The 23,631-nt window shown below is 53.1% G+C and overlaps 1 protein-coding gene and 1 non-coding gene across 8 annotated transcripts in view, besides 2 other annotated features; both read left to right on the top strand.

The window, feature by feature from the left end:
- Nucleotides 1-19,554, top strand: part of ASB2 (ankyrin repeat and SOCS box containing 2) — a 42,405-nt gene extending 22,851 nt beyond the window's left edge. For 5 of the 7 annotated variants that reach the window (XM_017021369.3, NM_001202429.2, XM_005267758.4 and 2 more), the window contains 6 exons: nt 213-368; nt 2,476-2,721; nt 6,200-6,371; nt 14,048-14,612; nt 15,869-16,022; nt 18,928-19,554. In XM_017021369.3, coding sequence (XP_016876858.1) covers nt 213-368; nt 2,476-2,721; nt 6,200-6,371; nt 14,048-14,612; nt 15,869-16,022; nt 18,928-19,064 — 1,430 coding nt within the window. In that variant the 3' untranslated portion in view covers nt 19,065-19,554. The remainder of the gene's footprint in view (nt 1-212; nt 369-2,475; nt 2,722-6,199; nt 6,372-14,047; nt 14,613-15,868; nt 16,023-18,927) is intronic. The other 2 variants (XM_047431473.1, XM_011536834.4) reach the window with 1 other exon arrangement.
- Nucleotides 5,418-5,494, top strand: MIR4506 (microRNA 4506). Its single transcript, NR_039728.1, has one exon. It is a non-coding gene; the product is annotated as a microRNA 4506 (primary transcript).
- Nucleotides 11,533-12,033: an enhancer, noted in NCBI's record as "H3K4me1 hESC enhancer chr14:94408033-94408533 (GRCh37/hg19 assembly coordinates)". NCBI's record gives its function as "activates a minimal SCP1, AML or CMV promoter by ChIP-STARR-seq in naive H9 embryonic stem cells {active_cell/tissue: H9 hESC(naive)}" and the evidence as "EXISTENCE:reporter gene assay evidence [ECO:0000049][PMID:30033119]".
- Nucleotides 12,034-12,534: an enhancer, noted in NCBI's record as "H3K4me1 hESC enhancer chr14:94407532-94408032 (GRCh37/hg19 assembly coordinates)". NCBI's record gives its function as "activates a minimal SCP1, AML or CMV promoter by ChIP-STARR-seq in naive H9 embryonic stem cells {active_cell/tissue: H9 hESC(naive)}" and the evidence as "EXISTENCE:reporter gene assay evidence [ECO:0000049][PMID:30033119]".
- Nucleotides 19,555-23,631: the final 4,077 nt, after the last annotated feature.

Below are 23,631 nucleotides of genomic sequence, written 5' to 3'. Positions count from 1 at the left end.
CTTCTCAGAGGACGTGGCATCTGAGCTTGGACGTGTACGACCAGGAAGCTAAAATGGCCCTGTGAAAGGGCCAGATGAATGCAGTCTGTAGTTGGTAAATTTCAGAGGATGTCATACATTGTTCTTGAAATTGGGAGGCAATCGGGAAAGCCTCTGTGTTGCGGGGCTGAGTATCTTTCTCCTACATGAATTTCCCGGTGGGCCCTCCCTAGCGTACCCAGGGACCATCGACCAGCGCACCCTGCAGGAGGAAACAGCCGTTTACTTGGCAACGTGCAGGGGCCACCTGGACTGTCTCCTGTCACTGCTCCAAGCAGGGGCAGAGCCGGACATCTCCAACAAATCCCGAGAGACACCGCTCTACAAAGGTGAGGTCCCCACCCCGGAGTGAGCTTTCCTGCGGAAGAATCCAGAAGCTGGGTGAGCAACAGGGAATGTTGCTCCCGTTAAGTGCATAACCCCCAACGTGGCCCTGCTCAAATGCACAATTTATGTAACTGAATCATTCATTCCTGCATGTATTTTACCAACATTTTCCAACTGCATCCCATGGGCCAGGATGCTGAGGGACACTGAGGGCTTGGAGCTGAAAAGCTATAGTCCAACCTGTGCACCCTCCCAGCCCTGTAGGCACCCACACACAGAGAGCAGGAAAGGGCTTGGCAGGAGGCATTGTGGGAGCATGGGGGAGGGGCACCCAGAGGAGGGGTGCCTGAGCTGAACCACAGAGGAGGAATCACCTGCTGGCCAAGCAGCGGGAACCGCACAGGCAAAGGCATGAAGGTATGCGAGAGCATGTACCTCTGGGACATTTGTTTAAGAAAAACAAGGCCTCCTGGCTTACTCAGTACATCATCCATGGACATTTGTTGGCTGCCCTAGCAGTACCCAGAGTCAAAGTCTAAATAATCACAATAGCTAGCATTGATTGAGTGTTTAGTATGTGCCAGGCACCGTTCTCTTATGGACCCCTCATGTCCATCTGCACATGAAGTAGGCACTGCTGGTATCCCCTTTCACATATGAGGACCTAAGGCACCAAGACATTAAATGGGTCGCCCAGGATCACACAGCTTGCAAGGGGTACCCCAGTGGTTTAAACTCAGGGAGGTGGATGTCACACTGCCCTCAACTACTACATTCTAAAGCATCCTGTCCATGCCTACATGCTGAAGCAATCAGCTGGGGTCTTACAAATGATCAGGCCTTTGTACTTGGAAAAATTACAGATATCCCTGATTTCCCATGTGTCTATCCAGTGCTTGGAACAGCTTGGGCAGCAGGAACTGAGTAGTAGGTCACTGGATCCGCTGCAGACCCACCATGGAAGTGTCTTCCCTGGAATCCGTGCCTGCCAGGGCGCCATGGCTATCACCTGGAACCTCAGCTGTCCAAAGGGAGTGCCCAGGAAGCTGGGCAGCCCACAGCCAGAGCTTGGCCCTGGTCTTGCAAGCACACCTACTATGTGCCAAGCACTATGCTCATGCCTTACACACAGTCTCACTCCCATAGCATCTGCTCAAGAAGGTTTTATTCTCTCCATTTTACAGATGAGAAAGTCAAGGCTTAGAGAGGTAGAAGGCTTGGCCTATGGTTCTATTTGAAACAGTACACAGGCAGCCCTCCTCCCCCTGCTGCCAGTCTCCCTGACCCATTCCTCACTCCTCCTCCCACTGACACGGACACAGAGAAGCTTCCAGGGCTGGTTAATTTGGAAAAGTGCCCAGGTGACTCCAATACCACCTGCAGCTCCTGGTGAGAACTCTGGGGCCAGAGCCAAGGGCACGTTTGGGGTCTAGAGAGAGATGAGGCTTATAAAGGAGGTTAGAGCAGGTCAAGAAAGACTTGAGGAGCTGTACTCACAACGTGCATTTTACCCTGAACTAAATTAGTAGCCTTTGCTGGAGCAGGGGGAAGTTCAGCAGGATTATGACACCGCTGACTCCTCATCTAGAAAGATTCTTCCAGCCTTGGTAATGTGGAGGACTGAAGCAGGTACCACTGGAAGGGGAAATGATAGGGACATCCTGGGACATCCCAGGGGACAGAGACCTTCAGCCTGACTACCAGGGTTTGAATTCCAGTTCTGCCACTTAGTATCTGTGTGACTTTGGGCAAGCCACTTACCCTCTCTGTGCCTCACCTTCCTTATCTGTGAAAGGGGATAACATCACTACATCCTTTAAGGGGATTTGGGAGGATTAAATTAGTTAATCCTGTAAAATGTGCTTAGAACAGAGAGCCTGGCACAGAACCAGTACTAGGCATATGAATCAGCAAGTATTCTTGCTAATGTTAGTATCAGTATTACTTTTAGTCGCCTATCCCAGGTTCAATGCAGGGATTGGAACTTAATACACATGCAGTGGAAAGCTGAATGAGTGGATGAGTGAATGGACAGGCGAATGAATGCAGTCTCTGCTGGCCAGTTCCTGCCAGGCCCTGCTGACCATCCCTGCTTCCCCCTGAGCACAGCCTGCGAGCGCAAGAACGCGGAGGCCGTGAAGATTCTGGTGCAGCACAATGCAGACACCAACCACCGCTGCAACCGCGGCTGGACCGCTCTGCACGAGTCTGTGTCTCGCAATGACCTGGAGGTCATGCAGATCCTGGTGAGCGGAGGAGCCAAGGTGGAATCCAAGAACGCCTACGGCATCACCCCCTTGTTCGTGGCCGCCCAGAGTGGACAGTTGGAGGCCTTGAGGTTCTTAGCCAAGTACGGTGAGTGGCTAAGGGTCCCTAGGTCATGGAGTCCCCAAAGGGCACACGGGAAGGATGTCAGAGGTCAGCTCTAAGGGAAGGCGAGTTAGGGGTCATCTTGTGCGCACACTGATGGAGTGAGAGTTTCCTCCTAGAGTGCTGTGTTGAGAAAGATGCTGAGGCTGTGTCCAGGCTCAGTGGGAAGAGCGTCGGGATCCACTAGTGACATCTGCCATTAGAACAAATATGGGGGGGTCTGGCCCACGGACCACCTATTTGCCATTTATAATCTAGTCCAACATTTTCATTTTACAAACGAGGAGTCTGAGGCACAGAGTGAGGAAGTGACTTATCTATAGTCCTATAGCAAATTAATTGTAGAACTAGCTAGACTCTTGGTCTCCTGACACCCCAACCGCTTCTCTTTCCACCACATCACACTTCAGGGCCAGAAGGAACCTCAAGCAACATTTAGATCACCTCCCCCTTTTATGGGTGATGAACTCAAGGACCAGGATGGGAAAGTGATTTGTCCAAGGTCACACAGCAAATTAGTGGCAGAGCTGGGACTTGAACCCAGCTCTTTGCCCTCTTTGCCTGTGAAATATCTTAATGGGAGAAAATAACACAATACGGCCTGCATTATGATGGCCCAGTAGCAAAAGACCACGAGACATGGCAGACTTGCTTTTGGTTTCAGAACATTATATCCTGATCTTCCCCAAGAATGCCTTTGATTTCTTTTCTCTCTCCACGGGAAGTAACCCTCTCTCTAGCAACAGAGAAGCCAGAGGTAATCCAGACGCTGAGGCTGAACTGTAGGAATCTGTTGAGGACTTGCTAAGTGTGAACACAGATCGGGGCAATGGAGCTTTCCCCGTAGCCCCATGTGGTAGGTAGTATGCTCGTCCCATTTTATAGATGAAGAGACTGAGGTTCAGAGAGGTTAACTAATTGGTCACAGTCCAAGCCTGGATGCTGACCCACTGCCATCTGACTCCAAACTGCACATGCTTTGTGCTCTGCCAGCCACCCTACCCTGTGAGAGTCGGCAGCACGGGACTCTGCCCAGGTAAGCATCCATGCACTCAGCACGCGCCTGAGCAGTGGGGAACATAGGTGCAGGCCCTTCCGTGCAGCCAGGAACAAATCTGGACTGCCCAGCGTAAGAACAAAGGGGCACAGGCAGGGTCCTGGGAGCCCAGGCCGGGGGTCCTGGTGACGGACAGCATGCTCAGCAGGCAAGGGTGACCTCAATAACTCCAAACATCTGTCCAGGTCTCCCACCGACACTCTGAGTCAGGGTGTGTTCACTTTGTGGGCTGAGTCCATTTTCCAACCCAAATATTTTTCTTGTGCAAGCAGGCGGCTTTGCTGGTAGGGTCCAGGCTCTCCAGGGCACCTGCCTCTGAGAGCCCAACAGAGGGTTAGGGCGGCTCACTGGCTCTCCCTCAGGCCGGAGGCAGGACGAAGGCCTCTGCCCAGCTCCTTCCATCCTGAGCAACTGGCATTTGCTGAGCAGCTTCCCTGTGGCAGGCACTGCGCTGAGAGATGTGCTTACACTATTTTGTTTACTCCCTGCAGTAACCCCGAGGGGTAGGTACTATTATCCCTGGTCAACAGATGAGAAAACCGAGGCTCCTAAAGGCTTTCTGAGACTGCAGAGCTTGTGAGCCATGAAACAGATGCCTCAGCTGATTCTCATCTGTCGCCAAAGCCTGTGCTGTTTCCGCTGGATCAGAAACTGGTCACACCATCATCAAAAATAATAAATTACCAGAAAGCCTGAGATCAGCAACATGCTTAGAGAGATGACCTGTGGTTAGCAGATGCTTTTGATTTTAGCCCCACTGACATCTTCAAGCATCTTAGTTCCATGTCCTTCCAGAACAAGGAAGGACTGCTGAATTCTCTTTCTGCAGAGAAAGCTGTGTGCACATCAGTTCTCCCCCTCACCCCCTGCCCGAGGAGATGAAGCAGGTGTAGAAGACTGAGCTGAAGGCAGATTGTCACCAGGCCTGATTCCTCCTTCTAGCAGCATGGATTAATGTTTTCTGGGTTTTGTTTTGTTTTTGTTTTGGGAACAGGGTCTCACTTTGTTGTCCAGGCTGGAGTGCAGTGGTGTGATCCCGGCTCACTGCCGCCTATATCAACCTCCTGGGCTCAAGTAATCCTTGCACCTCAGCCTTCCAAGTAGCTGGAACTACAGGCATGTGCCACCATGCCCGGCCAGGGGCTACTCAGTAGGTGTAGAGAACAGAGTCTCATTAGGTTACCCAGGCTAGTCTTGAATTCCTGAGCTCAAGTGATCTGCCCGCCTTGGCCTCCCAAAGTGCTGGGATTACAAGTGTGAGCCATTGCACCTGGCCTAGTATTTTCTTGGGAGGAGACAGAAAGTAATTCTCTTATTCCTTGAAGTGAAAGGCAGAGAATTAGCAATTAGCAAGCATGCAGGGAATACCTAGCACAAGGAGCACTAGTGATAAGAGCTAGAAGTTATTGATAGCAGTAAGGATCAATATTAATAGCATGGTAACATTAGCAATAATAATAGCAATATTAATAGCAAATTGCAATTAATAATGTTATTGGGGTTTTCCTTTATTAGGGGCTCTGTGCCCTCCTAGACCTGTGAGGCCTCTCTCAGGGCAGAGCCCAGGCCCTCTTACATGGAGTGAGGGTTAAGAGCATGGCCTCTACCATCAGAATATCCACCATGGCCTCTGCCATCAGACCATCTGGGTTCAAGTTTGGCTCCATCTTTATGAAATGGGTGGTCTGAGGCAAGTGGTCTAGGTGTTCTGTGCTTCACTGTCCCCATCTGTAATCTGGAGATAAGAGCAGTACTGACCTCACAAGGTGACCACCCACTGTGGATTCAGATATAGCCTGTGGAAAGCACGATGTTCAGCACGTAGTAGGTGCTCAGGAAAAACCAGCATCATCGTGGCTGCTTGTAGCCTCTCAGAGGCCTCTGTTCGGGCTGGCAGGCCCCTGGGTCTTTTTTTTTTTTTTTTTTTTTTTCCAGGCGGAGTTTCACTCTTGTTGCCCAGGCTGGAGTGCAATGGTGCAGTCTCGGCTCACTGCAACCTCCACCTCCTGGGTTCAAGCGATTCTCCTGCCTCAGCCTCCCGAGTAGCTGGGATTACTGGCGCCCACCACCATGCCCAGCTAATTTTTGTATTTTTAGTAAAGACAGGGTTTCACCATGTTGGCCGGGCTGGTCTCGAACTCCTGACCTCAGGTGATCCGCCTGCCTCAGCCTCCCAAAGTGCTGGGATTACAGGCATGAGCCACGCCTGGCCAGGCCCCTAGGTCTTGATGTTGTTGAAAGAAGCTGGGGGTAGCCCCAGGTAGACTCCTCCTTCCTAAGGGTCGTTGTTAAAGGTCCCGTGCATTACCGTGGTTAGCACAGCAGGCCCACCACGCGGTGGCGTTACATTGAGGACAGCAACTTCCCGGTCACTTGGCCACTTGCTGATCTCTTCTCCTTCCCCAGGTGCTGACATCAACACGCAGGCCAGCGACAACGCGTCTGCCCTCTACGAGGCCTGCAAGAATGAGCATGAGGAGGTGGTGGAGTTTCTGCTGTCACAGGGTGCCGACGCCAACAAGACCAACAAGGACGGCTTGCTCCCGCTGCACATCGCCTCCAAGAAGGGCAACTACAGGTCAGCCCAGGCTCCGCCAGCACCCAGGCAGCTCTCCCGAGGCCCACACTGGGAGTAGGGGATTGGAGGGGTGGGCCTGCCCTGAATGTCCCACCCACAGGATTAGGGAGGCCCAGGAGAGGTCAGAATGGACATCACCTTTCCCATGGAAAGGAGGGAAACCCCTTAGCAGTTAGCAACATGGAGTGAATGCCTGTAACAACAGCAACTGAAATAATAACAGCAAACCCTTATGCAGCGCTTACCAGTACTTCACATCAGAAACTTATTTAATCTGCTTAACAGCTCACTGAGGTGGATATTATTATCTCTGTTGTTTAGATGAGGAAGCTAAGACACAGAGAGGTTGAGTGACTTGCCCAAGGTCACACAGCTCATAGGCGGCAGGTACTCACCTGCTCCAAAGGTCACAGCTACAGGAATTCTATCCTGGGGGGCAGATATGAGTCTGAGCTAATGAATATTTCCGGGAGTACAGGAATGCAAGGATAACCTCCCAGGCAATTAGCAAGCATGCAAGGAAAACCTACAATAACACAAATAGCACCAATGATAAGAACTAGCAGTTATTGAGCAATTACTAAGTGCTAGATACTCTGAGTGAGAAGAGAGAGGCTTAAGTTCCCAAGGAGCAATCTGGAGGAAGGGAAGAAGCACAGACATGTGAATTCATGACATCATGAAAGAGCATGCCGAAGAGCTGCATGGCTCCTGTGGAGACAGACGAGCCGGGGCTAGAGGCAGAGGTGTGCTAGAGCCAGCTCGTGCCTGTTCTCAGGAACCGACTGCACACCTCTTCCCAACTCTGTGTTTACTGACCTCACATTGATAGCTTAAAATTGGCCATGGGGGAATATTTACATGGGGAAATAGGCAAATGCTACAAACCAGAGTCCTTTCCCCCTTCTCTGCCCTTGCTTGAGCCAGTTTTTAAGCATTCCCAGCAGCACTGCTACATGGGGAAGCCTGGGCCGCAGAGGTGAAGCTCCAGCTGCCCTTGAAGGATGGACAGGGCTTGGTCATTTCCAGAGTGTGACTCATCTGCCTCCCATGTGAGCCTCACACTGTGCTGCGGGTATGCGGGTCAACCCGGATTTTCATTTTACAGGACAGGAAACGAAGACTCTGGTAGTTAAGAGATTTGCCCCTTGAAAGCCCCGTCCCCAGGGCTAGGACTTAAACCCCAGCATCTGACCCTTTTTGCTGGACAGTGCTTCCCAAACTGTCCATTCACAGATTTTCTTCCTGATTTTAAATATCTATACTCTCATCGTTTAGTAATTTTTCCTTTAAATAATGTTTTTACTTACAATGAATTTATTTTGAAGAGGAAACATTTATCACACTAGTATGTTATCCATTTACAATCAATTTTAAAAACATTTCATTTAAAATCCCATCTCATGTACCCTGATGACACTTGGGGAAACACACCCGAATCTTCCAGACAGGCAGGAGAGTGAGAAGCACAGACTGCGTGTATTGGGGCATGTTTGTTGTCTTCACTAAGGCAGAGGGAAATGGGGTCAAAGTGACATTCCAAAGACTGAAATGAAGACTCAAGGCTTCAGAGCCGCCCCTTAAAGCTCCAGCCCCTTCTGTGCAGGTTGCCTGCACCAAGACCACCCAAAGATGCCCTCCCCACTCCCCACACCCCCCAGTACATACACAGAGGAGACCCAGCCTTTTCTGGACAGCACAGCTGTCCACAAGGCTGACAGATCTGGGTGTGAATCCCTGCTGAGGCCATTGGGAAAGTTGCTTAACCTTGCTGAGCCTCATTTTCCTCATTTATAAAATGGGAAATGGTTACACCCGCCTCATGGGGTTGTCGGAGGACCAGTAAAATGGATACGTACGGATATAGAATGGAAAAAAGCACCTAGCAGAGCGCCTGCACCCAGTGTGTGCTCAGGCGTCCTATGCTCACCCACTCTTACTTAGGGAGAGTGCATTCCATGATTGAGCGGTTCAGACAGCAGCTCAAGCCAGGCAGTGGGCATGGACAAGACGGCTCCTTTCTCTTGAGTTCCACAAATCATCGGGCATCAGTCAGAGTTGGGCAAACACAGTTTACCTTGAGCCTGACCCCAGAGAGATCCAGAGTGAACACACGGGAAGTGGGTGCACTTTGGAAATCTCCTGGCCCACTGCCCCCCAATTCTAGCCTGCACATCCATGTCCCTCTGGGCTATTTTTAAAATGCCATATCAGATCCGGTGAATCAGAATCTCCAGGAGAGAAGGAGCCCCACTGTCTCTTTGAAAAGCTCCCTGAGCAAATCAGATACAGCCTGTCTATAGCTGCAGGGACCATTGATCTAATTCAGGCCCTGGTTTTACAGAGAAGGAAGCCAAGGTCAGATATGGAAGTGATTTTTGAGATAGCGGCAGGGCTGGGACCTTCATCTGGGCTGCCTTCAAGTGAACCCAGAGGTGTTGGCAGTCTGGCCCCAGCTGGAGGAGAAGCTGAAGGGGCACTAGGTGGCCTTGCGGATGATCAGAGAGTAAGGCGCGTCCTGCCTGGAACACTGTGTCCATGGCTGATGTTCCTGTAAACTCATCTACCTTGGATTCACGTGGATTCCCAGGGCGAATTCCCTGGTTATTCAACCTCCACCCCCGGGCCCCATTTCCCTCTGTCCCCCAAGGCTCAGAGGGGCCTGGGCCACTTTTTAGGGCTAAGCAACAAAGGGTTAAAGCCTGGTTCCCAGCAGCTTCTGCCACCAGGCAGAGCCCATGGCCAGCAAGCCCCGAGCTCATCACTCCCTCCCTGGGCATACAGCATTAAAGGCCCTCTGCTCGGGGATTTGATGTGACATTCCATAGGCATTCCACACTCTGCCACCTGCCAACACACCCTGGCCATCCGTCCCAGGCATGGAAGGCAGCACCAGGAGCCGAAGGCTGTTTGCCAGATGGTGTCTTCTCGTCAGCACACTTAACCGCAAGGGGTGACATGCGGGTGTGCTGAGAAAGGAGCCCTAAAGTCCCGATGTCGCAGTCACCTCCAAGACACGCATTTTCCTGTTGTTCATTTCCAGTTTAGCAAAGCCACCGTATGAAATCAAAGATCAACACCAAAGATAGACGTATTAAGAAACTGTGTGAGTTAGCGCAGAGCAGATGCCCCAAGAATAGCACCCAAAACAGTAGTGTCCAACCTTGGCTGCACCAGAAACCCTGATGCCTGGGCCCCACCTGACGAGATGGCGCTGCCGCTGGTCTGGGCCGTGGCTGAGGCTTCAAGGTGTCTAAGAGCTGCCCGGGAGATTTTACTGTGCAGCCTGGGTAGAGAATCAGGATCTTAGAGCCTCTTCTGTGGCCAACAGAAAACACAGACTTGCATTCTGGGCCTTACTTCTGCCTCCCTCGTTTTTAAATATTCCTTCTCTTTTAGTTCCAACATATAACACTTTTGCTGTATTTTATCAATCTTTGCAAGCCACTTGAAATTCTTCCTAGAATAAGGCAAAATAGAGAACACTTAACACATTAAATTAAAAAGCAGCTTATAAAGCACACTGACAAGCAAGTTAATATCCCCATTAGTTAAAAGAGAAACTGAGGCTCAGAGCTCAAGACTTCATAGAAAACAAGTCAGGGTGGCACAGTGAAGCTCAGAAGTGTTGGCAATGGAGCCGTCTGTGGGCAACTGGTTCCCATGTCAATCCTCCAGCCAATGTTTTTGTTGTTGTTTGTTTGTTTTTGAGACCGACTCTCTGTCACCCAAGCTGGAGTGCAGTGGCACAATCTTGGCTCGCTGCAACCTCTGCCTCCTGGGTTCAAGTGATTCTCCTTCCTCAGCCTCCCAAGTAGCTGGGATTACAGGTGTCCACCACTGTGCCTGGCTAATTTTTGTATTTTAGTAGAGACCGGGTTTCATCATGTTGCCCGGGCTGGTCTCGAACTCCTGAGCTCAACTGATCCACCCGCCTCAGCCTCCCAAAGTGCTCCGATTACAGGCGTGAGCCACCGCGCCCGGCCCTCCATCCAAATTTACATTGAACACTGACAAGGGTCAAAGCACAGTGACCTGGTGATCCAGAATGCCTCTGTGTTTAGGGTAGCAGGGGCAGTAGGCTGCAGTTGTGGTGGTGGTCAAGATACCAAGAGCATTGTTCATTCACTGCCGACTACGGGCCAATCAGATTCATGGGAAAGATCTCATTTATACTCAGAAGCAGCCTTGGTGAAAGATCATTACATTGTGCTTTGTAACCTGGACCTGGGGTTGTAAGCAGTCCTACCTTGCCGGATTGTTATGAGTAAATGAGTAAATGAGATTAAGTTCTTAGCTCTGAGGGTCATGCTAGGATTAAATGAAGTAAACAAATGTGAGGACCACTTTAAATGGTACCTGGCACACAGTAAGCGCTCAGCAATATTAGCACAATTATGACTTAAGAAGGTAAGGGGTAAAGTGCTCACAGCAACCCACTGGAGCTCAATAAAGGGTAGCTATAGCTATCACCATCATCATCATCATCATCATCATCACTATTATTACAATTAATTACCCCTCTGCTTTAGGTGCGGTTCAGAGAGGTTAAGTGACATGCTTGCGCTGGCCCAGTGCTGAAGGGTAGAGCTGGTGTGTAACCCATGTACCCCTGACTCTGAGCCTCCCAGTTTCCCCACTGCCCATGCTGGGCCCCTCTCTAGCTAAGGACAGCTTGCGTTGGCTCAAAGCTCTCTGCCCATTCCCCTGCTGTTGGGCTAGATTCAGGAAGGACATCAGAGCCAGGGCCAGGTGGTATGGCAAGGCTGCTGCTCTGAGGAAACTAGAATCCTGGAGTGGGAGCCCAGACCTGGGGCAAGGATGTCAGGCTTCAGATACTGGTGGGTCCTAGGAACAAGACAAGAGCCCAGTGATTCGGAATGAGGTCCAAGGTCAGAGACAGCTCAGCACCTGCCACACTGCTGCACTGGGTCTTCCTGGAATGACCCTGAGCTGGATCTGCTCCGGTCTCAGGGCCCAGACAGGAAAGGCTAAGCTGGTAGTTGTGGCCTCTGCATTGGGGAGGGGACAAGGAAGGGGTAGGGGGCCATTCTTCCAGACACCTACGGCTCTATCAGACAATAGTCACCTTTGTTCCTCTTCATGAGGTGCCGCTTGAGCAATTATACTCTGAGAATCCAAAACGTGCCTGTGGGAGAAGTGGGAAGAGTCAGACTGTTTGGTGGGGTCACCCCCTTGTCCTCCTGTCCTCTGCCCCACAAAATGGGCTGGGAAGAGGAGTGATGATGTGCAGTGGGGCTACCAACGTGGCCGCTCCCATAGTTGGGAGGAGAGGGGCATCGTAGAAGGCTTGGCCCTGGACATCCAGAGACCTGTATTTTGCTCTTGTGCACCACCCACCTTCTGTCCAACCTCACTCTGTTCCCCACCCCAAGCCTGGGCTTCAGGTTTACTCTGTGTAAAATGGGAAAGCTGGACGCACTGATCTCCAGAGCCTGTCCGGCGTTACACATTCACTTTCTGATTGGCAGAGTCCTGCCGCAGTAAGATGATTCACCACATAACTGAGACAATGCTCAAGTTCCCACATTTCTGCCACTTTCCCTTGGTTCGTGGAGAACTGCCGGAGACCAGCTGTGACCTGCCAGAGATACCAGCCCCATCTGTCCAGCGGCCCCGGGGCAGCCCCTCTCACTGTTCTTTCCCGTTCTTGGGCACGTTACAGCTGTTAGCAGAGCATTTGTTGGCCGTGGCCGCCATCCAGGGTGAGGCCCAGGCCTGCCTTTGACCAGCACCTCTGCAGAGCAAAGTCAGGCCTCCTGTGCCTACACAAATAGAAATTAGGAGGCAATTAGCCCCCCGGGTGTGTGAATTTCCTTTTGAGGTTTTAGAGTCAGATTTTAGCCAAACACAGCATCACTAACAATCATAATACTTTCCACTGAGATCCCAGCAGGAGGTCGCTGGCATCAGATTTCCAGGAAGCCTGTGTGCCAGGAGGCCAGAGGCGTGGGAATGGGCCTGGTGGCACCTGCTTCTCTCCCCTTCCCCCACCGCCCCACCCCCTGTAATGGCCACCTCCTTGGAGTCCCACAGGAGGCTGTGAGGTCACCTGTCAGCAGGGATTGGATGGATTAGGGTCTGGAATCATATTGGTGCAGGAGCTTGTTCTTGCAGGTGGCAGGGCTGTAGGAGAAGAGAGCCAAGAGAAGGGGTAAAGAGTCCTGGGGTTGAGCCCCCAGAATTGTCTTATGACCCCTGATTAGTCACTTCGGCTCTCTGAGCCACATCTGTTAAAAAGAAGGCCACAGGCCTGCTCCGGCCACTCCCACCCAGGGCTGAAGTGAAGGTAAAATGGGCAGGCAAGTTAACACATTATGAAGACTGCAAAACCCCGGGATATATTAACTGTCACCCTGACTGCTACACAAGAGGTAGGGGCATTGTTAAGAGTGTAGCTTTGGGGTCAGACTGCCTGGGTTCAAATCCTGGCTCCATCACTTACTGGCTGTGTATCCTTGGAGGAGTCACATACCTTCTCTGGGCTTATGTCTCCTCATCTCTGAAATGAGGATATTACAGTACTCACTTCAGAGGGCTACTGGGAGGATTTCACAGATGAATAGAGGTAAAGTGCTGAGATCAGTGCTCGTGTTTTAGGGAAGAGAGGAACTGGTGGTTGCAGGGAGCTCAGGCTTCCGCAGTGGCTGACCAAGTTCTCCACACCCAGAAGGTGAGGCAGAGAGACTGGGAGAAGCTAGCGTCAGCCTTCGGGGAGGAGGCGTTGAGACTGACAGGAGAGGAGTGTAAGTGACCTCATGGTCACAATGGGCTGGTTGGGGCCTGGGGCAGTAGTAGTTGGGGCCAAATTAGTTGGGGCCAAACACATTTGTCCCCTTTTGTCCTCAGGATCTCGTGGCTCCACTGGGGTCCCAGGACAGCAAGATAGGGACAGCTCAGCCCTGGAGTCAGAGGAGGGCACACACCCTGGTTCCCCTATTCTGACTGTATGACTGGGCAAGCCCCTTAATCTCTCAGAGTCTTGACTCTTCTCATCTGCAAAATGGGAATGATGAGCCTTGCTTTAGGGGTTATTGTAAAGATTAAACCCAATCGCACTTGTAAAGCCTTTAGGAGCCTCCTGGCACACGGTGGGCTCTGGGATCTGGCTGTCCCTGTCCGTCCTCCCCCAGAGAGAGCAGGGTCTGGCTCCAAACTTCGCCACTAGGCTCTACTGCCTCCTGCAGGGAGGAGGTTGGACATTCATTGGGTTTGGGGGCCTTCCAGGCAATTCCTCCAAATAACTGAGCTGGCAATGGGCAACAGCGCTTAGCCTGAAATAAATTAGTGGGAGCTTCTTGAAACCCTAGTGCAGTCTGGCTGAGGTTTTTAAGAACTCAGACTTCGGAGGCCAAGGGTTCTGGGTCTGAAGCCCAGCTCTGCCCCTTACTGGCTATGTGACTTTGGGAGGGTGGCTGAAGCTCTCTGAGCTTCAGTTTCCTTATCTGTAAAGCGGAGACGGCAGCCGACCCACCCTGCCCAGTGGGGTGAGAATGGTTGACCCGCGGCGCCCCCTGCCGGTGGGATCCGCGTCGCAGCCCGCGGTCAGGGCGACCAGCCGAGCCTGGCGCCCGAGCTCTCCTGCTGGCGGGGCCGGCCCTACCCGTCCACACCCCGACCCTCCCCTCACCCGCGCCCGCCCCTCGACCCGGCAGGATCGTGCAGATGCTGCTGCCGGTGACCAGCCGCACGCGCATACGCCGTAGCGGCGTCAGTCCGCTGCACCTGGCGGCCGAGCGCAACCACGACGAGGTGCTGGAGGCGCTGCTGAGCGCGCGCTTCGACGTGAACACGCCGCTGGCCCCCGAGCGCGCGCGCCTCTACGAAGACCGGCGCAGCTCCGCGCTGTACTTCGCGGTGGTCAACAACAACGTGTACGCCACCGAGCTGCTGCTGCAACACGGCGCCGACCCCAACCGCGACGTCATCAGCCCCTTGCTCGTGGCCATCCGCCACGGCTGCCTGCGCACAATGCAGCTGCTGCTGGACCACGGCGCGAACATCGACGCCTATATCGCCACGCACCCCACCGCCTTCCCCGCCACCATCATGTTCGCCATGAAGTGCCTGTCGCTGCTCAAGTTCCTCATGGACCTGGGCTGCGACGGCGAGCCCTGCTTCTCATGCCTCTACGGCAACGGCCCGCACCCGCCGGCCCCGCAGCCCTCCAGCAGGTTCAACGACGCGCCCGCGGCCGACAAGGAGCCCAGCGTGGTGCAGGTGGGCAGCGCACGCTGGCGGTGGGGAGCACGCCTTTTGGGTGTGGCCCAGGGACGCGCGCGCGCATGGGAGGCGGGCGGGGCCGGGTGGTTCGCGCTCCTTGGGAGCAGCGTGGACTAGTGATTAACACCCTTCGGGGGAAGTGGGGCCAGCTTTGGAGGCAGCAGAGCACGGTGGTTAACCTGCGTCCTGGGTAGCGTGGGTTAGCGCTTAGGGCGCTTTGGAGGGAGCTTTGGAGGGAACTAGGGGTTAGCTCACTTTGGAGGCAGCGGAACCGGTGGTTAGCACACTTAAGAGGCCGCAGAACTTAGTGGTGCATTGGAACGGTGAAATCCTTCTTGTGGTCCACTGCGTTGGGGAATTTAAGGAACCAATGATGGAGCGGAGAACTCTGCCAAACTAAGAGGCTCGTCACCTCCAGCAAACCTACACCTGGAATGCGATGTGAAACAAGCACGATCCGGAAAGGCATGTCAAGAGCAGGCTGGTGTAGGGTCAGGTCAGAAGCAGAAAGCCAGCGACCCAGAGGCAGGACACGTCCATGTTGTTACTTTAAAAGTCAGAACTTGGCCGGGCGCGGTGGCTCACGCCTGTAATCCCAACACTTTGGGAGGCCGAGGCCGGCGGATCACGAGGTCAGGAGATCGAGACCATCCTGGCTAACACGGTGAAACCCCGTCTTAACTAAAAATACAAAAAAATTAGCCAAGTGTGGTGGCCGGCGCCTGTAGTCCCAGGTGCTCGGGAGGCTAAGGCAGGAGAATGACGTGCACCCAGGAGGCAGAGCTTGCAGTGAGCCGAGATCGCGCCACTGCACTCCAGCCTGGGCACAGAGCGAGACTCTGTCTCAAAAAAAAAAAAAAAAAAAAAAAAAGTCAGAACTTAAAAGGAAGTTAGACACACTCCTCTCCTGGAGCTCATTGTTTTAATGGTTAATGGCGATCATTCATGGGCTGCCTACTGTGTGCAAAGTTTATGTTCATATTACCTAATTCTCATGTTAAATCCCCTTGGAGTTGGTTTCATATACCTATTTTATAGATAGGGAAATTGAGGCTCAGAGGTGATGTGACTTGCTCAAGTTGCCCGTCTTCCACTTTGGGCAGCAGAAGCCTGTGTTGAGGGGACATGGTTCAGGGGATCCTAGCCTGGGTGTGCACAGTGTCTGTGCTTGGACACATCCGCTGCCGTCCCTGGCCGCAGGCTCTTGCAGGTGGGATGAACTCACTTCTTGGTCCCGGCATGTTCTCTTTCAGTTCTGTGAGTTCGTATCTGCCCCAGAGGTGAGCCGCTGGGCGGGGCCCATCATCGATGTCCTCCTGGACTACGTGGGCAACGTGCAGCTCTGCTCGCGGCTGAAGGAACACATCGACAGCTTTGAGGACTGGGCCGTCATCAAGGAGAAGGCAGGTAGGGACTTGCTGCTGCTGCCAAGGCTGGCAGATCTCCCTGCCTGACTCAGAGTCCCAGGCCTCAGGGAGTGCGACTGTTCCTAACCCTGTGAGCACCTGCTGCTTGCCAGGCTCTGTAACTCCTTGGATGAAACATGAGGAATCTGCCTCTCAGAGAGCTGTGCCACCTGGGCCAAAGTCACAGTTAGTTAGTGGCAGAGCTGGGATTAAAACCCAGGTTTGACCAACCCCAGAGTCTCTCCGCTACATCTTTCCATGATGTTTTAAACAGCTACAGCTCCCTGAGGGGTACCGGGACCTTCAGGGTAGGTTGTGAATGATTTGGGGCCACCAAGAGGCATTGTAGGAGGGGAGAGGGGAGGATGGTGGTCTAGGATGTCTCAAACTAAAGTGCACATGAAGCACCTGAGTGTCCTGTTAAAAATGCAGCTTCTGATTCCGCAGGTCTGGGGCGGGGCCGGGGAGTCTGCATTTCAACAGGCTCCCAGGTGACACCAAGGCTGTTGGTGCACAGAACACCCTGGTGTGGGAGACAGGCCCCTGAACCCTGGAGCCAGCCTTGCCAGGGCCTTGCTGGGTGAGGCCTCTCCCCACCTGAACAGAGGGGCCTGGGCAGGCTCGTTGTCCAGCTCCTTTCAGCTGGACCCGCCTGAACTGTGCCAGGCACAGTGAAGTGGAGTTCGGCCACTGTCCCTCTGATGTGTGCAGAGTAGATGGGGCTGCCTGGCTAAGTCAGGCTGAGGAAGCCAGAATCCCTCTTAGGCATTTTTGGAGCTCACCTGGGCAAACAGGATGCCACAGGTGACAGAAATGGGTATCTGTGCAGTGGCATTCTAGCTACCCTAGGGCTTTCTCTGGCTCTGAGGGCACAGTCCTGCCCTGGCCAAGTGTTTACAAGGAGGCTGACCTGCAGCAGGTCATTGTCATTCCACCACTACTGCTCCTGTCCCCAGGTGGGACTGTGCAGCCTCGGGGGGCCCACCCCTGTGCCCCAACTCTGACTCACCACATTCCTCCTTGATCCCCACACCCCTGTGAACCCAAATGTGCTGTAGGATTTTTCATTGGCACAGGTGCCTGGAAGCCACTTGAATTGAAGCCTTTGATAAAGTTTCTGGGGCAGTGATGGAGGAGGGAGGCGTCAGCTTGCCCATTCACTCAGGGCTTAACTCTAGACGCATGATAAACCTTCAGGGAACTAATGAATAATTAGTTGCTGTCACCACGATCCTTGGCCACTAGAGGGTGGAGCAGTCTATGCCTAGGTATCAGTCCTACCCATTCTGTCACCTTCTCCTGCCTTCCTTAGAGAAGGGTGGTCCCCCACAACTAAACCATGCCCCAGGGAAATCCCTGCAGAGACCTTAGTGTGGAGTACGCATTTGTTAGCCAGTAAAACCAATCGTTCTTAACCAATATCTATTTGGGTTACTTTAAAGCCCACTTTCCACCTGCAAGACAGTCCCCACGAGCTTGTTTGTTTAATGCTACAACATTGACATCCTTATTCTGGGAAGGAACTACCCAGAGCCCATGGATTGGCCAGCCCAGCCCTCATGGTTCCGTGTCCTCTGCTCACCAGCAGCCTGTGCTGAGTTTCCCAGAGGGGAGGTTATGTTCTAAGCTTGTTACCTAAGGGTTTCCCCATCTATTTTCTGGACTATTAAAAAAGTGTCCTAACTGGCCTCAATGCCTGTAATTAATTATTCCAATTCAGCCATTAAATGAATATATATTCAAGACCTTCTGTGTACAAGGTAACCACATTATTTTTTATCCAGACCACAGCATTTAGGAGATAGTAATAGGAACTAACCAGGCAAGCTGCCCGGGCAACAGGAATGATGCTTCCCTGCTCTTTGGCGTACTATGTGGTAGAAAAATCTGAGCTCAGAAGGCAGTGAACTCAGAGGGCAGTGGAAGTGTCAGAAACACAGTGATGGGTGTGTGAATGCTTCGCTAGGCAACGCTGCAGCCGCCTGGCCCTCCGCCCTTGCTCCACATCCCACCTGCCCCTCCAGCCCCAGGCTTGCATGACTTCCTTGCCTTGCCACTTGCTGTTTTCCCTGCTTAGAATGCCCCTGTCCCCCTTCCGTACCTGGAAATTCCTGCCCCTCCCCCAGGACCTCACTCAGAGGGCACCGTCTCTTGTGGAAGCCTCCACTAGAGCCTCTGGGCAGGCACCTCTGCATATCTGGCCCAAGCACAGAGCTAGGTGCAACAGAGGGGCTCAGCATTCGCCTGGTGAATGAATGAATGAATGAATGAATGACATTCTGTGATTCTACAAGCCCTTTAATTACTCCGTTACTGGATGCGTTCATCCCTGCTCTTACCTCTACCCACTCCCCAGCTCAGAAAACTCCACTACGTGGCTCCTGGGGGAGGCAGCCAGGTGGGATTCTGGAGCTCGAGGCGAGCTGTCAGTCTCTGCCCCCTTATCCTGGCCTCTCAGCACCACTGGGAGCTCCAAGTTGAATTCCACATGTAGGGGCACTTAAGTGGTCAAACCCTCTGACCCCATTGCTAAGGCTGTGTTTGGGGGCCCAGGCTGTGTGTGAAGAGGAAGAGGCTCAAGAGGAGGGAGACACCACCACTAGTCCCAGGAGGGATCCTGGGCAAGGCTCAGAACCTTGCTAAGCCTCGGTTTCCGCACCTGTGAAATGGGTGTGCTAACCACGCTGTGCACTGCGTGGGCTGTGCAGATCAATGAGGGGTGAACAATGGGAAGGTGGCTTGCTGGATCTCTTTAGTTGGCAGGGACTGGGGTGACCAGCAGCAGGCACTCCCTCTCTTACCCAGCCACATCAGCTGGGCACCTCCCATAGGCTGGGGTCACAGATGCAATCCCTTTGCTTATTGCAAATGACAAATCAGCCTCTGTCTTTCCCTCCTTTTTTCAGAACCTCCAAGACCTCTGGCTCACCTTTGCCGACTGCGGGTTCGAAAGGCCATTGGGAAATACCGTATAAAACTCCTAGACACCTTGCCGCTCCCAGGCAGGCTGATTAGATACCTGAAATACGAGAACACCCAGTAACTGGGGCCACGGGGAGAGAGGAGTAGCCCCTCAGACTCTTCTTACTAAGTCTCAGGACGTCGGTGTTCCCAACTCCAAGGGGACCTGGTGACAGACGAGGCTGCAGGCTGCCTCCCTCTCAGCCTGGACAGCTACCAGGATCTCACTGGGTCTCAGGGCCCAGAGCTTTGGCCAGAGCAGAGAACAGAATGTGTCAAGGAGAAGAATCATTTGTTTACAAACTGATGAGCAGATCCCAGACCTTCTCTACCTTCAGGAATGGCAGAAACCTCTATTCCTGGGGCCAGGGCAGAGCTTGAGGTGTTCTGGGGAAGGTGGTGCTCAGAGCCTTCCCTGTGCCCCTCCACTTGTTCTGGAAAACTCACCACTTGACTTCAGAGCTTTCTCTCCAAAGACTAAGATGAAGACGTGGCCCAAGGTAGGGGGTAGGGGGAGCCTGGGTCTTGGAGGGCTTTGTTAAGTATTAATATAATAAATGTTACACATGTGACACCTGCCCAGTGAAGTCCCTCTCATCAGACTCCCTGAAGCCTGAGGTCCTCAGCCTTGCTCCTGGCAGTAGCGGGAGCGAGGCAGATGTGGGGACGGGGCACAAGGACCCCTGAACGTGTCACCTTTGGGCTCCTGAAAGACCCAAGAGGCTGTGTCCTTCACTCCCCAGGCAAGACCGGATGATGGCCCAATGGGTTTTCCTCTCCTGGTTCAATCACCATGGAAACAGGCACTCCATCACAGTCTCAGGGCCCACATGTCTCCCGACACCTGGGGTTGTCTTATACATGTTTCCTGGCACTCTGTTTTCACACGCTGCTCACCCCTGTTTTGCTGGTTGTTGAGAAACTAGGAAAAAAAAATTAAATACTGGCCACTGTGAGCAATGGTGCTAGAGTGATGGCCATGGTCAGCCCTTGCAAAGGCACCAAGCCTGAGAGTGCACAGAGCTCTGGCCCCTGCGTGCCTCCCTCTGTCTTCATGTGGCCCTGTGGATTGAGTAGAGCAGGAATTGTCATCCTGTTTTCAGGTGGTGCAGGGCAGAGTTAAGGCTCGCCACCACGTGGCACTCTGGGGGGTCTCTCCAGGCCCCGAGGGCTGAGAGGTAGAATGCCCTATTTCCATGGAAGCTGCGGTAACTCATCACCACTCCCTTTACAAGTGTGAATGAAGCCGCTGAGTCCAGGCTACTCTGCAGCAACACCGGAGCAGGCCACCTGGCCGAGAGTCTGTACTAGGCCAGCCCCAGGATCTAGTAGTGTCTTAAACAAGGTCAAAGGTAGTTTCTGGCCTTTGGAAAGTAAGCAGCTAGATTGGTGGAGGGGAGCACTGGTTCCAGGCTCAGCTCTGCCATTGGCTTACATCTCTGGGGCCTCAGTTTCCTCATCTGTATAGTGAGACATGATGGCCCCTGGTGGCCTTGCCGGCTCTGACACGCTGGGTTTCTTTTTTTTTTTTCGAGGCAGAGTCTCACTTTGCTACCCAGGCTGACATACACTGGCATGATCTTGGCTCATTGCAACCTCCGCCTCCTGGGCTCAGGTGATCCTCCCACCTCAGCCTCCCAAGTAGCTGGGACTATAGGGGCATGACACTGTGCCCGGCTAAAGACACACTGGGCTTCTATGGAATCAGTAACTCCCAGAGAAAAAGTCTTCCAAGCAGCACTTTATGGCCACAGGTCAAAGGGGGCTCAACCAGGTCTTGCCCACCCCTTCGTGGTACAAATGAGAAACTGGCCCAGAGAGGGGAAGGGACTTGCCTGGGCACACACAGCAAGTCCCTGGGGTTCCAGCTCAACAGTGCTGGGCCACAGTCCCATGCGGCCTTGCTGTATACCAGGCAGAACCTGCGGGGATCCTAAGAAAGCCCCAAAGGAAACCTGCACTCTCCCCCACTGGGGGATGCCCAACACTGAGAGCCCAGAGGGTAAATTGCCAAGGAGGGTTCAGCTCCCAGGGGAGCTGACTCTGAAACCCCACATGACTCTGATGGAAGAACGCCTTTGCTCACCCAGAAGCCAAAGGGAGGGCATTTGCATCTCGGGTGACTGCTGGTCAAACTGACCCGAGGGGTGGCAGGTGGTGATGGAATGAGGCACGCAGGGCCAGTGTGTGAGTTGTTTCGTGTGTGTGTACTGAGATGCGTCTTGGGCAGACTCTTAACCTACAGCATCTCCTGGGCCGCATTATGTCCCAAACAGTCCTATGGCAGCAGCCACAAATCTCCCAGCCCAGAGACCCGGGCACTGGGCAGGGCAGTGTGCTGGTCTGAGGGAGGTGCCACTCTGGGGGAGGTGAGGCCGAAGGGGTGAGTGGGAGGTGTAGGGGAGGGGTTCAGCCACTGTTTTCTCTATAGTCACCATTTGCAGGATGTGGCACCTCCTGGCCTGGGACACACTAGTGCTACATTTGGGTTCTTAGAATATTAATGTACATGCGTCCATGCCACTTAGTCAAACACTGCTCAGGACCCCTCCCCCCAAGCGCCATGCCCAGCCTTGGCCTCCTCAGGTCCCTGCCCCCATCTTCCCACAACCCAGCAGCTAAGGGGTTCATTCCTGGCCTGGGACTGCTCCAATGGGTTGGTTCCAGTTGGTCAGTGCTCACATTGTGCCATTCATTATGTATTTTGACCATCACTCCTGCGTAGAGCACTTTACAGCCACCTCCCTCTGTAGAAGTGGGCCCCTCCTGCAGCCGCACCTACCCAGCCCCAAGAGGTTTGCAGCCTCAGGGACGTCTCACAGCATAGTAGACACAGCCCTGAAAGTCTGGCACAGATTCCCCTTTGTGAACAGGAGCCTGTTTGACCCAGCGGTGGGTGTCGGGGATGGTGAAGGGGTAGGGGGAGGTGTGCCTGGACTGGCTCTGGGTTTTACTTTGAACCGGCGCCGTTCACTTTGTGGTTAGGGGAGTATCTGCTGTTGTTACTGCAGCGGGATTTAAAACTGATTTTTAATACCAAAGCTTTCCTAAATGCATGTGTTCTGCCTACCTCGCTTCCACGTGGGGGCATCATGTTGCCAGGGGCTTCTGTCAGGCCATGTCTTAGTAGAGGTTTCTGCTTCCCAACTTTTGAATGGATGGATCATCAGGTACCCCCTGGGGCTGTGAGCAGGGACAGGCCAGTCTTATCAGAGAGACCAGAGCTTTCTCCCCAAAGACTAAGATATCTTAGTCTAAGACTAAGACGTGCCTCTGGAGCTCAGGTCCTCTCTAGCAGGTGCGGTTGGTTGGGTGGTCCAGGCACATTATTCCCTGGGCAGCACAGCCCATAAACGGTATTAAAATGTCAGCGTGACAGGACCTACAGACACCGCCAGATAACTACAAGAGGCGACTTGTGGTTGGTGAAGCTTTTGAGCATCTGGGTAGCACAGTGGGCCGAGCACTCACATTGGCCTCACAACAGCCTATACAGCAGGTCTGTTATCAATCACATTCTTCAAATGAGGAAATTTCAGCACGGAGAGGTTAAGTAACTTTCCCAAGATTGCACAGCTGATAGATGGCAGGCTAGGATGCAGGCATTTAAACCGCTGCTATGCAGTTTGCAGGGAGCTGAGGCTCATCGACATGGATCCAGAGGGCCTGCATGATGCCACACAGAGGGCAGAGGAGGGTACCCCACCCCCCAGCCCCTTGCTGCTCTTTAAGACCAGAGCAGTCTGAGGCTGAGGGTCTAGGTTGAGGACTGTCCTCATCCCATGGCCAGATAATGACTCTGAACAGCTCTGCCCAGGCCATGCCTGTTTCTGTGGCTCTGAAGTCTTCAGAGGCCATTGGACAGAAACCACTGGCTGGCTTCCTGGGGCTGGGGCTGCCCCTCCAGGGGACTCCCCAGGCCAGGGGAATCCTGGAGTAAAACAAGGCAAGTAGGAGGGGCCCTTGGTGACCATGGATCCTGCATCCTGTGTTAATGAGGAAGAATCAGAGGCCATGTCTGGACTCCAAAGAAGGGATCCTGCAACCAGCCAACACTTGCCTGGGGTGAAGAAGAGGTCGTTGCACCTGTTTCCTAGTCCCCCATTGTAGAGATGAGGAGACTGAGGCACAGAGTGAGGATTAACTTGTCCAGCATCACGCTGTTGATGAGAGCACCGTAGTCCCCAGCCGGGACTGGCCTGCTGCACCCTTCTTAGTTGTGGAAACTGTGTTCTGATAAAATAAGCAGCTCGGCAGGCCAGCAGGCCCACCCTCTCTCAGCCGTGGAGCCACGTCCACAGCAGCAGAGAAAATCTGGGCCTGTGTGCAGGTGGAGGCCCCTCAGGTAGCTTTGCTAGTAGGACACTAACGGCAAAATCCAGAGCCACTTCCTGCCACCAATGCTCCCCTCTGCACTGTCACAGGCAGAGGCCTCATTATTCCATTGATGGGGCACCTGGTGTGTGCCAGGCCCGGGGAGAGACCCATCAGCAGGTAACCTGGAGTCTGAATTAGCTAGAGAGGATCCTTTTGTATGTGCCAGAGAGAACGAGGTTTAGGGGAATTCGCTATTATTTTTTAAATTGATTTATTTTCCCCATGGACATAGACTCCAAGACCATGCTTACAAGAGAAACAATTTGGTCAAG

This window comes from Homo sapiens, chromosome 14, assembly GCF_000001405.40.
Source record: "Homo sapiens chromosome 14, GRCh38.p14 Primary Assembly".
NCBI classification, from domain to species: domain Eukaryota; kingdom Metazoa; phylum Chordata; class Mammalia; order Primates; family Hominidae; genus Homo; species Homo sapiens.
The sequence above is the reverse complement of the archived record's forward strand: the minus strand, read 5'-3'. Positions and strand labels throughout refer to the sequence as shown.